Here is a 13,748-nt window from a genome sequence, read left to right as displayed (position 1 = left end):
AGGATCACTTGAGCCCGGGAGGTAGAGGCTACAGTGAGCTCTGATCACACCATTGCACTCCAGCCTGGGCAACAGAGTGAGACTCCATCTCCAGAAAGAAAAAAAAAAAAAAGATGCTAAGGAGGGTCAGAAAAACAATGCCCTAAAAGTCAGGAGAGGAGTATAAAAGGGAGGGAGGGCTCAAAGAACAAGGAGAGCAAGGCCTGAAACCTCTCCCTTAGCTATTAGTAAAAGCACACATCACCTTGTAGAGGGCAGTGTTCCTAGAGGGATGGAGACTGAAAGCTAGGGTGCAAGGAGGTAAGAGGTTGAACAGAAATGAGAAGGCAGAAGCAGGTAGGACAGGTCTAGGAAGGAAAGACAGGCAGCAGCTACTGGGAGAGAGTACAAAAGGAAAGGAGTTTCATTTTGTCTGTAAAAAGGAAACACTTGCACAGGCTTGTATTCTGAGAGGGCAGTGACAGAAGGCAGGAACAAGGAATAAAGAAGACAACAGAGGCTGCCATGTCTGGAGAGATGTGGTCCACAGCACAGCCTAGGAGGGAGATGTCAGCTTTGAACAGGAAGGGAACCACTGATGCTACAGAGGTGGAAAGGAATAGGACAGAAACAACTAATACGGACAATTTTGTGGATTAAAAAGCTAAATTTTAAAGGCAATCCTTTAAAGATGGGCTCTAATTTCTCCCCAGAAAAAAAATAGGCAGGTTCTTCAGATTGGAGTCATGGAGTTGGGCAAAAGAAGGGAACTTGAAAAGAGAGATGAAACACTAAAGTAGCAAGTAAAACAGAACTGAAGCCTTCAAGAAAAGGACCATCCGTTTGAATTGAGCCCCCCAGCAAGGCTGGTCATTGGAGACTTGTGGCCAATTGATTGGCAAAGTGAGATTTTTCTGCACTATGCTCAGTAGCTGCTCCTATGTAGATGCAGAGAAGAGAATATTTAGATTTCCCAAACTTGGGATTTGCAAGGCCAAAGGAAGGAAAGGAAGGAAGTGGGGAAGATATCAGTACAGAAGTTGCAGGGATGGCCTATATGTGTTTAGTTATAGAGAAGTTCAGAACACATTGCCCCCAAAAGGCACCAACTGGCATATTGACAATCTTGAATTAGAGGTACTTGAAAAACAGAAGGTACAAGAAGATCACTCTTCCTCTTTTTAAAAATAGAAGATGAAATTCCCATCTGAAAGGTGTCCTCCCTATACGAGAAAAAAAAAATACTCCTATCATCGAGGATGGGAAGTTGGGGCTGAGGGAAATCTGTACAAACCTTGTTACACTAACCCTTATCTTCCTAGTTACTTCTCTACCCAATTAACTGCCCTAGCCCAAGCCCCTTAGCCTTGTCACATTTTCACAATTTACTAATCTTTCTCCAATTCACTATATAAGCATTCAACTCAGGCTGGGTCTTTGGGCCTTCATTTCCTTATGAAATCTTCCATACCACATAAAAGTGACATTAAATACATTTGTATGTTTTTCTCCTATCTGACATCAACTTAATTCTCAGGCTAATCAGAAAAACTCTAAGAGAATAGAGGTAAAGTTGTGCCTCCCCAGCTGGCTAGGGGAGAAAGTGAAGCCCAGGAAATTGTTGATAATTTGGAGATGGTGAGGCTGGAAGGTAGCTATGGAGGTAACAGGGACATGGGCTTGGGCCTGCTAGTAGAAAAGGTGGCTGTGAGTGGAAGAAGGGATATCAGAGCCTGGAACCATAGAAGATGCTCAGCCCTGAAGACTGAAGGTCACATGAGCTGGGGAAGAGCTTTGCTAAAGTGGGTGGAGTGTCAATGAAGGTCACTGAAGACAACAGGTAGGGACTTAGTGGGAAATAGTGGAAAGGCCTCTAGACCAGTCTTCAGGAATCCTGGGTTTTAATTTTATCCCACCACTTTCTTTCTGTGTGGCCTTGAGCTTTACACCTACCCTCTCTGAGTTTTTGTTTCCTCTATGAGAACAGAGATATGGAGGTACTGTAATGTTAAATAATATGCATGAGAATTCCTGCCACTTAGTTGGTCTCCATCAGTATTGACTGGATCTGGAGCCTGGCATGTTAGACATGAGCCTGTGGAGCACAGGAGCCCAGGGATGGGAGGGAAAATGGCCCAACCAGTATGGGACAAGAGACAGGAGAAACAGGTATGGGGAAGGAGGGGATACACTTTGGCAGACTTCCCAGTTTTGCTTAGAACTGACCTTACTTACCTTCAGGTGGAGGAAGGCAAAGAGGAGTTACCCTGAAAGATATTTTGATGGTCCTAGGTTGCAAAGATAGACAGCTTTGTTTCACTTGATTTATGAAGACTGTTTTTAAAATCCAGCCAACTTTGTTCTTAGATACCTGTGTCCTTGAACTCATGCCATTTTGGCTGTTCCAGGCACTCTTTCCATCAATTATCTGTCTAGCCAGCATATTGCATTCCTCTGTCTCCACTGGCAACTTCTTTTTAGCCTCCAAACACCTTGCAGGGTCTCCTTCTTTAAGAGATTCTCCCCAGCCTGCCTCCCAGCCCTGAGAGCTCTATTTGTCTCTCTCCACTTCCTTACTAATCACACTCTGGCCCAAAACAGAGCTGGACAGAATATAAGATTCCTTTTGGTACAACAGGGAGCCTGGAGATGCTACAAAAGGATCCAAGCCAGGCCTGGCAGGGGCAGAATCAAACTGGCAGAAAACAGAATGGAAGGTGGTTACGGAATAGAGGCAGGAGCATGAACACAGAAGGAATAACCATCTTTCACCCAATTCTAATTTAAGTCATCTCTCTGCATTGTATAAGCTTTGGACTGTCTTGGATCCTATGAGGGACAAAAAAATTGTATGTATATAGATAAATACATCACCACTTGTACAATAATAGTAATAGTATAATAATAGCTAACAGCATTTACTGAGCGTCACAATTTGCTCTATGGTCGTTATGTATACTAACTTATTTAGAGCTCACAACAGTCCTAGGAGGTAGGTATAATTATTATCCCCATTTTACAAATAAGGGGACTGAGGGTCACCAAAATTAAATAACTTGTTGAAGATCACGTATTCTGTAAGTGGTGGCCAAGCCCACGCAACCTGAGTCAATAGCACTTACAGAGCATTTATACTTATACTTTTTCTCATGCCACTCTCATAATGACCCTGGGAGGCCCAGATGGCATGTATAATTATGCTTATTACCACTAACAAATAAGGAAACTGAGTCCAGAAGATGCAGTGATTGCCTGAGTTCACAGAGTCAGGAAATTGCAGAGTCAAGGACCTAGGTTCTGTACTACAAACCCCTGCAACTGGGGAGAGATGAGTGAGAGAAACTGGCATCTGAGGCTGCTATGGGCAAACAGCAGGGCAAAAAGCCAGGCTGGCTACTAGGTGAGCTGCTAGGGACAGCTGAGCACACGTTCAGCCAAGTCAACTTCAATGTTCAGGGGTTCTCTGAACAGCACACAAACCATGCACTGCCAGTTTTATACAGTTAGTGTAGGATTTCTGGAGTGTCCCCATTCTTTCAGGCAGTCACAAGTCCTCCAGTGAATGTGACAATCCCAACAGGGATCCTGGGTCTGGGTCCTAATAGCACCACTGTACCGAATCCCGTGGCCTCAATGACTTTGTTTCCATTTTTATTCTTCGGAACCCTGTTCCTTGAGACTTATCTCCCACCCCTTCTCAAAGCCCTCACCTCCCTCAATTTGGCTCTGCACCCTTCTGATCCTCCTACCTCATGTTTCCTTGTCTCCCTCCCGGGGTTCTCTATGCCCCAACTCCACCCCTTGTCGTGGGCGCTCCTCAAGGCCTCATTTCTTTCCACTCTGTATACTCTTCCCAGATGGTCTCATCTCTCTCCATGACGTCCAACATTTAGTTATTTTTGAAGTACTCTTTAAATCAATTATTGTATGGTAAAAAATATATTAAAGGCTAGAACTAAAATTCTTCTTAAGAATGAAACTGTCGGCTGGGCGCAGTGGCTCTCTCCTGTAATCCCAGCACTTTGGGAGGCTGAGGCAGGCGAATCATGAGGTCAGGAGTTCAAGACCAGCCTGGCCAACATGGTGAAACCCGGTCTCTAATAAAAATACAAAATATTAGCTGGGCATAGTGGCGGGCGCCTGTAATCCCAGCTACTCGGGAGGCTGAGGCAAGCTAATCACTTGAACCTGGGAGGCAGAGGTTGCCTTGAGCCGAGATGGCACCAGTGCACTCCAACCCCGGGCAACAGAGAGAGACTCCGCAAAATAAAAAAAAAAAAAAAAAATTGTCTTACTTTAGGAAGATACCTTGTTGGGACATTTGGGTAGAAAAGATAAGACCCGGGGGGGGGAAAAAAAAACCAACCCTGGAAAGAAGGAGTAGAATATAAAGAAGGCTAAATTGATTTTCTTAAGAAAATGGAAGGAAATTGGAAAATAAGGGTGAAGAAGAAGTGTCCACCTGAGGAAAAGTAGAGATGAGTGGCATAAACTTAGGCTGAGTTGGTAGAAATGGCTGAGGGACTCTTTAAGAAGGATGTCCCTAGGTCAATGTTAGGTTATTTGCACATATGCATGTAAAGCCCCACAATCTCTCCTGAATTTTAATAAATTCTAGTATTAGCCAAGGATTTTCATGAGCCTTTTTATGATCTCTTCTTCATAAAATAAGCAAAATTCTGATTCAATATCTGCATAAATGAGATACAAAATAGGAGCAGGGCCTGTGAGTTTTAGACAATCCACAAACTAATTGGGTGAGAGGCTCCTAAATTCTCAGATATCTTGCAGAAGGTATTAGACTTATGATGAGTGAGGGAACAGGGATTTTAAACCCATCTTATATAGGGACTTAAGAAACATGGATACCTCACACTAATATAATTATAAAGTTATTAAAGTTGCTCATGATAAACATTTTGAATAATACTAAAAAGAAGGAATACAAATAAACTGCAGTCTGCCTCCCAAATACAATTAGTTTAACATTTTCATGAATAACTCTCCAGTTTCTTTCCTGGTAAAACTTTTCATATAACTTAATAATCTTTTATATACTCCAATGTCACTCCCATATTCTAGACCCACCTTTTCAAATTCCTGTCTATTGAACATCAAGCTTGACATGTCCTAAATTGAGTTCAACGTCTTTACTCCCCCTACCCCACCTCACTGCCTTTCCTCTTTCAGATAATGATGAAACCATCCACTGACTCATCAAGCCTTAGAGCCTTTTTTAACTCCTCCTTCCATTTCTCCCCACACACAGCCAACTAGTCACCAGGTTCATTGAGGTAAGCCTCCATGGAGTCATTCAAAGATGGAGTCCCTCTGATTCACTGTGTTCATGTACCTACCACCATTACTGGCCTGCTCATTCACATCCTCATCTCCTCGTGACTGGACTCCCAGATAAGCCTCCTAGAGGGCATCCTTACCTTCTCTCTGTATTCTTTCCAGCCAATCCAACACATCATTGTTTGATTGACAGTCCCCAAGGAGAGCTTTATCAAATTACTCCACTGCTAGAGAATTTCAAATCACTCCAGTGCCCACCAGTGTAAGCATCAACTCCTCACCCTGGCACTCGGGACTCTCATAAATGCCATTATTTTTTCCATCATGTTGGGTTACTTAATTTCTCCCCCAAATGCATTTCACGCTGCTCCCTTCTAACCTCTGTCTCGTGTTGTTTCGTCTGCTAGACTTCCCCTCTCTTGATAGTTTACCCATCTGTCATGGGCTGGATTTTGTTCCTCTCAAAACCCATATGTTGAAGGCCTAATCCTCAGTATGTCAGAATGTGCTTGTATTTGGAAATAGGACCTTTAAAGAGGTAATTAAATTAAAATGAGATCATTAGGGTGTGCTCTAATCTAAGATAGCTGGTGTCCTTTGAAGAAAAGGAGGTTACAATACAGACACAGAGTAAAGGATGGCCATATGAGGACACAACCAGAAGGCAGCTCTCTGTAAGCCAAGGAGAGAGGCCTCAGGAGAACCCTACCCTGCCCATACCTTGATCTCAGACTTCCACTGTCCAGGGCTATGAGAAAATAAATTTCTGTTCCTCAGTCACCTAGTCTGTGGTACTTTGCTGTGGCAACCCAAACAAACTAATGTACATCTTCAAGGCCAATCTCTGTTTCCACCTTCTTCATGTGACATTTCTGTTCTCCCTCCCTGAGACCTGCATGACACTCTGCTTAGCTTATTTGCCTATCTACTCTCCTGGGTGAGGCATGAATCCCGCCTCGTTCTTCAGGACAGATGATGTTTTACTCATCTCTATCATCATCATTGCATCTAACTCAGAGCCTTGCATGTGGTAGGTATTCAAAAAGCAGTTATTGGATTGTATTAAAAAAATTTATTGCAGAATAATTCACTTAAATATTACTGTAAAAAAAAAGTAGAAAATGGATCATTGTAAGCAGTAATAAACATGTCATAATTTTTTTTGTTTTTGGTATTCTCCAGGTACCAGGCATTTTCCTGATACTGAATATCCAAGAAAAGAAAGTTGTTAGGCAAACCAAAATAAATGTCTAGTCTTTTAAAAGTTTAAATAGCTAAGTAACTCCCTTTTTACATGGTAACATTCTTTAAATCCACAACTAGTCAGTATGGCACAATTAAACAAACATTGGTTTATGAGTCAGACTAATCTGGTTCCATGCTTGGCTCCACCATTTACTTCCTATGTAACCATTATCAGATTATTTCACCTCTCCAAGTCTGCTTCCTTATCTGTAAAATGGAAATGTCCATAACTACTTTATAGGATTGGCATGAGGATTGAATTACAAATAAGATTAGAGAAGCTGGATTGGAATCCCAGCTTTTGACCATTTATAGGCTGAGTGACCTCTGACAACTTATTTAATCCTTCTAAGCCTTCATTTCTTCAATTATAGAAGGAGGATGATGGCAATAATAGTACCAAGCTAATAAGCCTGCTGAGAGAATTACTTGGGTATCTGAAACAGTAAATGTTCAATATATGTTAAGCGATACAATGTCAGCATTAAAGTGACTAATACAGAGCCTACCACATAGATAATATACAATAAATCATATTTATTAATATTATTACTTACACTAGGATGATTTACGTTAAAAACATAACTATGGTCAAGAAAGAAAAGTGGTTTTTTCCTCATACTCAGTCAATTGTACATTTTCTAAGGGAGAAGTTCAGTATTTGAAGCAATTCAATCTTTTCCTGAGTGAAAACAGTTTTGAGCAACAGCATTGACAGAGCAATATGTAGTCTCATCACTTTCGGTCCATTCTATTGCTGCCTTTGGTGCCTGGGGTTACCCCTCATTGCATGCAGCCAGAACTTTTACAGAGTCATTTCATGCAAAGGTAGACAGGAAGATAAAGCTGTTAGTGAAGCTAGTTCAGCTCCATGACAGGTGCCTTCTGAGGGAGTCCAAAATGGGCTGCTTCCCCACCCCAAAACACATGTATGTGGCTGGGTCCTTCCACGTGAAATAACGAGCAATTAGCCAGAAGAACGCGGGGGAAGAACGCAGGGGGTGAGGGGGTGGGGGGGGGGGTTCCAAACCAGGGAATAATAAAGAATATTTTTAAATTGTTTTTAATTTTATAAAATTTTATATCCCCCCTTCTGGAATGGAATGGAAAGGAAAGGTATAAATGGACTATAATATTTTTCAGAAGTAGTACTTACATATATATATAGTATTAGCATGGAACTATAAACCCTTTTCTTAAATCTTTACTATTTTGAAAATTCAACTGTGTCAAGCACATAATAAAAGCTTAGTAAATATTCCTTGAATTTCAATTCATCAATAAATTCATATCTATTTCAATGACTTCAGGAAAAATAAACCTTATATAATATTATATTGGTGATTCTCAAAGAATCACTGGAGTGGAGAAGCACATGCTCATTACAATTACTTAGTTAAAAAATAATCAATTTTTTTTTTTTTTTTTTTTTTTTTTTGAGACGGAGTCTCGCTGTGTCTCCCAGGTTGGAGTGCAGTGGCGCGATCTCGGCTCACTGCAAGCTCCGCCTCCCAGGTTCATGCCATTCTCCTGCCTCAGCCTCCCAAGTAGCTGGGACTACAGGCTCCCGCCAACACGCCCGGCTAATTTTTTGTATTTTTAGTAGAAACGGGGTTTCACCGTGTTAGCCAAGATGGTCTCGATCTCCTGACCTCGTGATCCGCCCGTCTCGGCCTCCCAAAGTGCTAGGATTACAGGCGTGAGCCACCGCGCCCGGCCAAAAAATAATAAATCTTGAGAAACAATTTTATTAAGTAAAAAAACGCATTCATTCTGTACCTACCATATGCCAAGTAGGTTCTCAAAAAATAAAGATAAATTAGATTCTCTATCCTTTCAAGGTTGAATAGATAAATCCTTCCCCAATCCAATAGACTCTTAATGCAAAGAGAATTAACTCTAGAAGGGCTCTGCTCCCTTTCTTCAATTTTCTTCCATGAAACAATGGAGCAGAGTGGAAAGAAAAGTGAAGTCAGGCTTCTGGGCATCTCTGTCGTGCTACATCTTCTCTTTTCCCCACTAGGGGTAGAAGGAGTGTCTTCTCAACTTTGTGGAGATTTCTGGAGTAAAACCTCAGAATCAAAGAATGCTGGAGCCAGAGGTCATTGTAGAGGTCTCCTTGCCTGATAGTTCTCAACCCCAGTTTCTAAATGACTGTGAGGGTCAATATTCTCCTAAAGTTTTATATCTAGTTGAAACCCACTGATAGAGTCTATGGTTTTCCTTTTACAGGCAAGAAAGCAGGTTCACAGGAACACGGAAAGCTTGCCTAAAATCACAGTGGAAACTCGAATCCAGGTCTCCTTACTTCAAATACCAAACTTTCTTTAACCCTGGGATCCCAAGATGAGCTCTAGGAAGTCTGGTGACCCTTCCTAAAATTGTATGTAAAATTTGGATATGGGCGGGGTGCGGTGGCTCACACCTGTAATCCCAGCGCTTTGGGAGGCCAAGGCGGGTGGATCACGAAGTCAGGAGTTTGAGACCACCCTGACCAACATGGTGAAACCCCGTCTCTACTAAAAATACAAAAATTAGCTGAGCATGATGGCGGGCGCCTATAATCCCAGCTACTCGGGAGGCTGAAGGAGAATCGTTTGAACCCGGCAGGCGGAGGTGGCAGTGAGCCAAGATCATGCCATTGCACTCCAGCCTGGGCGACAGGGCGAGACTCTGTCGCAAAAGAAGATATGCATGCCTGTGTACATTTAAATGAGATGAGGATCCACGGCTTTTGACAAATTCTCAAAAAAATTAAAAACGGCCGGGCGCAGTGGCTCACGCATGTAATCCCAGCACTTTGGGAGGCCAAGGCGGGCGGATCACGAGGTCAGGAGATCGAGACCATCCTGGCTAACACGGTGAAACCCCGTCTCTACTAAAAATACAAAAAAATTAGCCAGGCGGGGTGGCGGGCGCTTGTAGTCCCAGCTACTCCGGAGTATGAGGCAGGAGAATGGTGTGAACCTGGAAGGCGGAGCTTGCTGTGAGCCGAGATTGCGCCGCTGCACTCCAGCCTCGGCGACAGAGAGAGACTCCCTCTCAAATAAATAAAGAAATAAAGAAATAAAAATACCATAAATTCAAATTTGCATTAGTTATTTCCCAGGCAATTATAAGAAGTGTCTGGGTATAGTGAGCAGGATTGGCCATGTGTGACTGAGGGTTAGAACCCCACATAACGTGATTGGGGAGATGTGGTATGAGCCCCACTCTATAAGAACTCCCCAGTTTCCTCCCAAACTTTTGCCTGAAATTGCTTTGTGAGTTAACGGATTTCGTACTATTCAAATGCAGATGTCCCTGGAGAAACAACAGAAGTCATTATCACATACAATAAAGTTGACATCATCATATTGCCTTCAAAAAGCTGTGGAGTAGCTGCAAGCAGATTTGAAGGATGGGGAAGGGACAGAGGCACTACAGGGACCCTATGCACTGAGGGATGGGAGAGCTCCACGGAGGAAGTGGCACAAAAATGGAGGCAGGTGGGCCTCAAAAACCCAAAGCATCATCCGGTTGCCGCCATGATAGAACAGCAGAAGCGTACAGGCCCAGAGTTACCGCTGGTCCCAGTCAAGCGGCAGCGGCATGAGTTGCTGTTGGGAGTGGCGGGATCGGGCCCTGGAGCCGGGCAGCAGCAGGCGACGCCAGGAGCTTTGCTGCAAGCAGGACCTCCGAGGTGTTCCTCCCTTCAAGCCCCAATCATGCTGCTCTCTGGACATGAAGGGGAAGTATACTGCTGCAAGTTCCACCCCCAACCGATCCACCTTAGCATCTGCAGGATTTGACCGACTGATATTGTTGTGGAATGTCTATGGTGACTGTGATAATTCTGCCATACTGAAGGAACACAGTGGAGCAGTGATGGAACTGCATTACAACACAGATGGCAGTATGCTCTTCCCAGCATCCACAGATAAAACTGTGGCTGTGTGGGATAGTGAAACGGGCAAGAGGGTTAAAACGCTAAAGGGACATACTTCCTTTGTGAATTCCTGTTATCTAGCCACCTTGTTTGCACTAGCAGTGACGATGGCACAGTTAAGCTTTGGGACTCTGGAAGAAAGCAGCCATCTAAACATTTCAGAACATGTACCAGGTGTTAGCTGTGACCTTCAATGACACAAGTGATCAGATTATTTCTGGTGGAATAGACAATGATATCAAGGTCTGGGACCTGTGCCAGAACAAACTAACCTACACCATGACAGGCCATGCAGATTCAGTGACTGGCCTGACCTTAAGTTCTGAAGGTTCTTATCTCTTGTCCAATGCAATGGACAATACAGTTCGTGTCTGGGATGTCTGGCCATTTGCCCCCAAAGAGAGGTGTGTAAACATAGTTCAAGGAAATGTGCACAACTTTGAAAAGAACCTTCTAAGATGTTCTTGGTCACCTGATGGAAGCAAAATAGCACCTGGCACAGCCGACAGGTTTGTGTATGTGTGGGATACCACAAGCAGGAGAATACTGTATGAGCTGCCCGGCCATGCTGGCTCCATCAATGAAGTTGCTTTCCACCCTGACTAGCCCTTCATTATCTCAGCATCGAGTGACAAGAGACTGTTGGGATATGGAATGGAAGACTCCAAGGCTACTTGTCTTTGAGACCTCAGACTGCATAAGTGACGTCAAATATTTATTGCCCAGGCTAGCACCCTCCCTTCAGATGACGATTACTGGCAAGAAACAGAGGAGGTGGTGGCCATATTCCAAAAACCACTGCTATCCCATTTCACCAGGATGACTAAGGCAAGCTCCCCGTGGCCTCTAAAATCCACCTGCCTGATTTCAGGAACTGTTTTGTTTTGTTTTTTGAGACAGAGTCTCGCTCTATCACCCAGGCTGGAGTGCAGTGGCGCATCTCGGCTCACTGCAAGCTCCGCCTCCCGGGTTCACGCCATTCTCCTGCCTCAGCCTCCGAGTAGCTGGGACTACAGGCACCTGCCAGCACACTCGGCTAATTTTTTGTATTTTCAGTAGAGACAGGGTTTCACTGTGTTAGCCAGGATGGTCTCGATCTCCTGACCTTGTGATCCACCCGCCTCGGCCTCCCAAAGTGCTGGGATTACAGGCATGAGCCACCGTGCCCGGCCTTCAGGGACGTTGTATTTTATTTTTTCTTTTTCTTTTTTCCTGTTTTCTAATGCCTGCCCAATGTGACAAATTTGCTGGTTGGGATTTTTTTTTTATTTAGTAACTGGCTTGTAGGATATTTTCTTTCTGTATTTCTCTAAGTGATTTTGTATTAAAAACATTTGTATTAAAAGCCTTAAAAAATAAAAAGCAAACAAACCCAAAGCACCTCTGTTTTCTGTTGATGACAGTCCAGAGGGGTAAAAATCCAAACTCACTGCAACAGATCAGAAGCCTCATGAGCTGACAATTTGGCTGAGACCACTCTAAGCCCTGTGAGGTTCTCCACCAAATAGTTGAGTAGGTAAATAAATAAATATTGTGGCAGCCAGAGAAACACCATGTTTCCCTGAAGAATTCCACTTGTAGACTTGAGGAAGAGTTCAACAACTAGCATCTGGTAAAGTTAGCTAGAAGCTGCCATATCTTCTAAAAGTGAAAGCTCACTGGCAGATGCACCCTCATTGGCAGCCCAAGCCCAGTCTTCCTGGTACCTTTTTAGACCCCTGCGTTGGTGGCTCCATGCCTCCTGATGGGAGGCTGAGCTGCTATGAGAATAAGAGGGCCTGTGGAAGCGACCACATTGGCTAAATATCAGCCCCTCCAGCTCTTCTCGACCTCGGGCACACTGATGTATGGGATAACTAACCAGCTTTAAAGAAAAGACCTAAAAAAGGACTTGGTAGGTATGTGGGTCCCTGATTTCCCATTGATACTTTGACTACAGGCTGGAACAGTCAGGGTGTCAGGGAAGGGCTCACCCATTCCTTAATGAGTAAAGAAGCATGGCATTCTCTGCTGGGAGAATTTTATTTTGCTGAATACTGTAGATCCTGCTAACTACCTACCCTTCTGATGGATGTTCACACAGCTAAAGAGCTCCTCCTGCTGAATTCTCATCAAGAAACTGGCTGCAGAAAGCAGCTCCTCCTTATAAGCTCTGCATGTAGCCCTCTGTCAGCTACATAATGTTTCTAATTCCTACCCAAGAACAAACCACTAAAAATTAATTATTGCTTGAAGGGAACAAAGAGAGAAAATACCAAGTATTTAATTCCTAAAATTATTTTGAGTAAAACTGGAGATAAGAAGGCTAGCCTTGAGCAATATCTTTGTCCCCAAATGTAGAATGTATTAGAGTTCTCTAGAGAACCAGAACTAATAGGAGGTAAACATAAAGAGATCATTACAAGGAATTTGTTCATATGATTATAGAGGCTTAAAAGTCCCATAATCGGTAGTCTGCAAGCTGGAGACTCAGGAAAGTTGGTGGTGTTGTTCCAGTACGAGTCTGAAGGCCTGAGGACCAGGAGAGCCAATGGTATATGTCACTGTCTGAGGGCAGAAGGCCAACGTCCCAGCTCAATCAATTGAATCAATTGGGCAAAGAGAGTGAATTCTGCCTTCCTCCATCTTTTGTTCTATTCAGGTCCTCAACTGATTGGATGATGGCCACTCACATCAGGAAGGGCAATCTGCTTCACACAGTCCTCTGGTACAAATGCTGATCTCATTGGAAACACCCTTACAGACACACCCAGAAATAACATTGAAACAAACATCTGGGCACCCTGTGGCCCTGTCAAGTTGACATATAAAATTAACCATCGCATACAATTTGTTGCATTTTTTTGTTACATAGAGTGTTAATAATACTGGATAAGAACTTAGAATAAATGCTGTCATTTAAAGATGGGGAAACTGAGGTCCCCAGAGAGGTTAAGGGGCTTGACTGAGACTCCCACTGACAATTGGATAGACCTGGAAGTAAAACCCAGATGAACTATGCTATTTTCTTTCCTACTGACCACTGGACAGTAATTGCTCTTATTACCTGGATGATTCATAACCCATTTCCAGTGTGTTTAACATTTATAACTAAGTAGTTAAAACTAGGAAGAGTTTCACTTACAGATGGTGATTTTTTGTGTGTTTTTTTAGACCCTCTTCTTCCCATTGTCTTATTACACCCTCACTCCCTCATCTCGGAAACACCCTGGTTAACTCACTGGCCATCTTGATAATGGTTCTGTTGCCCTGAGAGTGAAATCAGGGCTGAGCTTCTTAAGAAGAAAAGTGCTGAGTC

The 13,748-nt window shown here is 43.3% G+C and overlaps 1 protein-coding gene and 1 pseudogene across 5 annotated transcripts in view, besides 1 other annotated feature; one reads left to right on the top strand and one right to left on the bottom strand.

Moving 5' to 3' along the window:
• The window catches only part of KCNAB1 (potassium voltage-gated channel subfamily A regulatory beta subunit 1), a 420,928-nt gene that overhangs the window by 352,178 nt on the left and 55,002 nt on the right, over positions 1 to 13,748 (bottom strand). The window lies entirely within an intron of this gene.
• Positions 9,326 to 9,528: a silencer, noted in NCBI's record as "fragment chr3:155895222-155895424 (GRCh37/hg19 assembly coordinates)". NCBI's record gives its function as "represses an EF-1alpha promoter that drives an FKBP-Casp9 reporter gene in an ReSE screen in K562 erythroleukemia cells {active_cell/tissue: K562}" and the evidence as "EXISTENCE:reporter gene assay evidence [ECO:0000049][PMID:32094911]".
• Positions 10,038 to 11,780, top strand: SNRNP40P1 (SNRNP40 pseudogene 1; annotated as a pseudogene).

The sequence above is a fragment of the Homo sapiens genome, chromosome 3 (assembly GCF_000001405.40).
Source record: "Homo sapiens chromosome 3, GRCh38.p14 Primary Assembly".
Classification (NCBI taxonomy): Eukaryota; Metazoa; Chordata; class Mammalia; order Primates; family Hominidae; genus Homo; species Homo sapiens.
The sequence above is the reverse complement of the archived record's forward strand: the minus strand, read 5'-3'. Positions and strand labels throughout refer to the sequence as shown.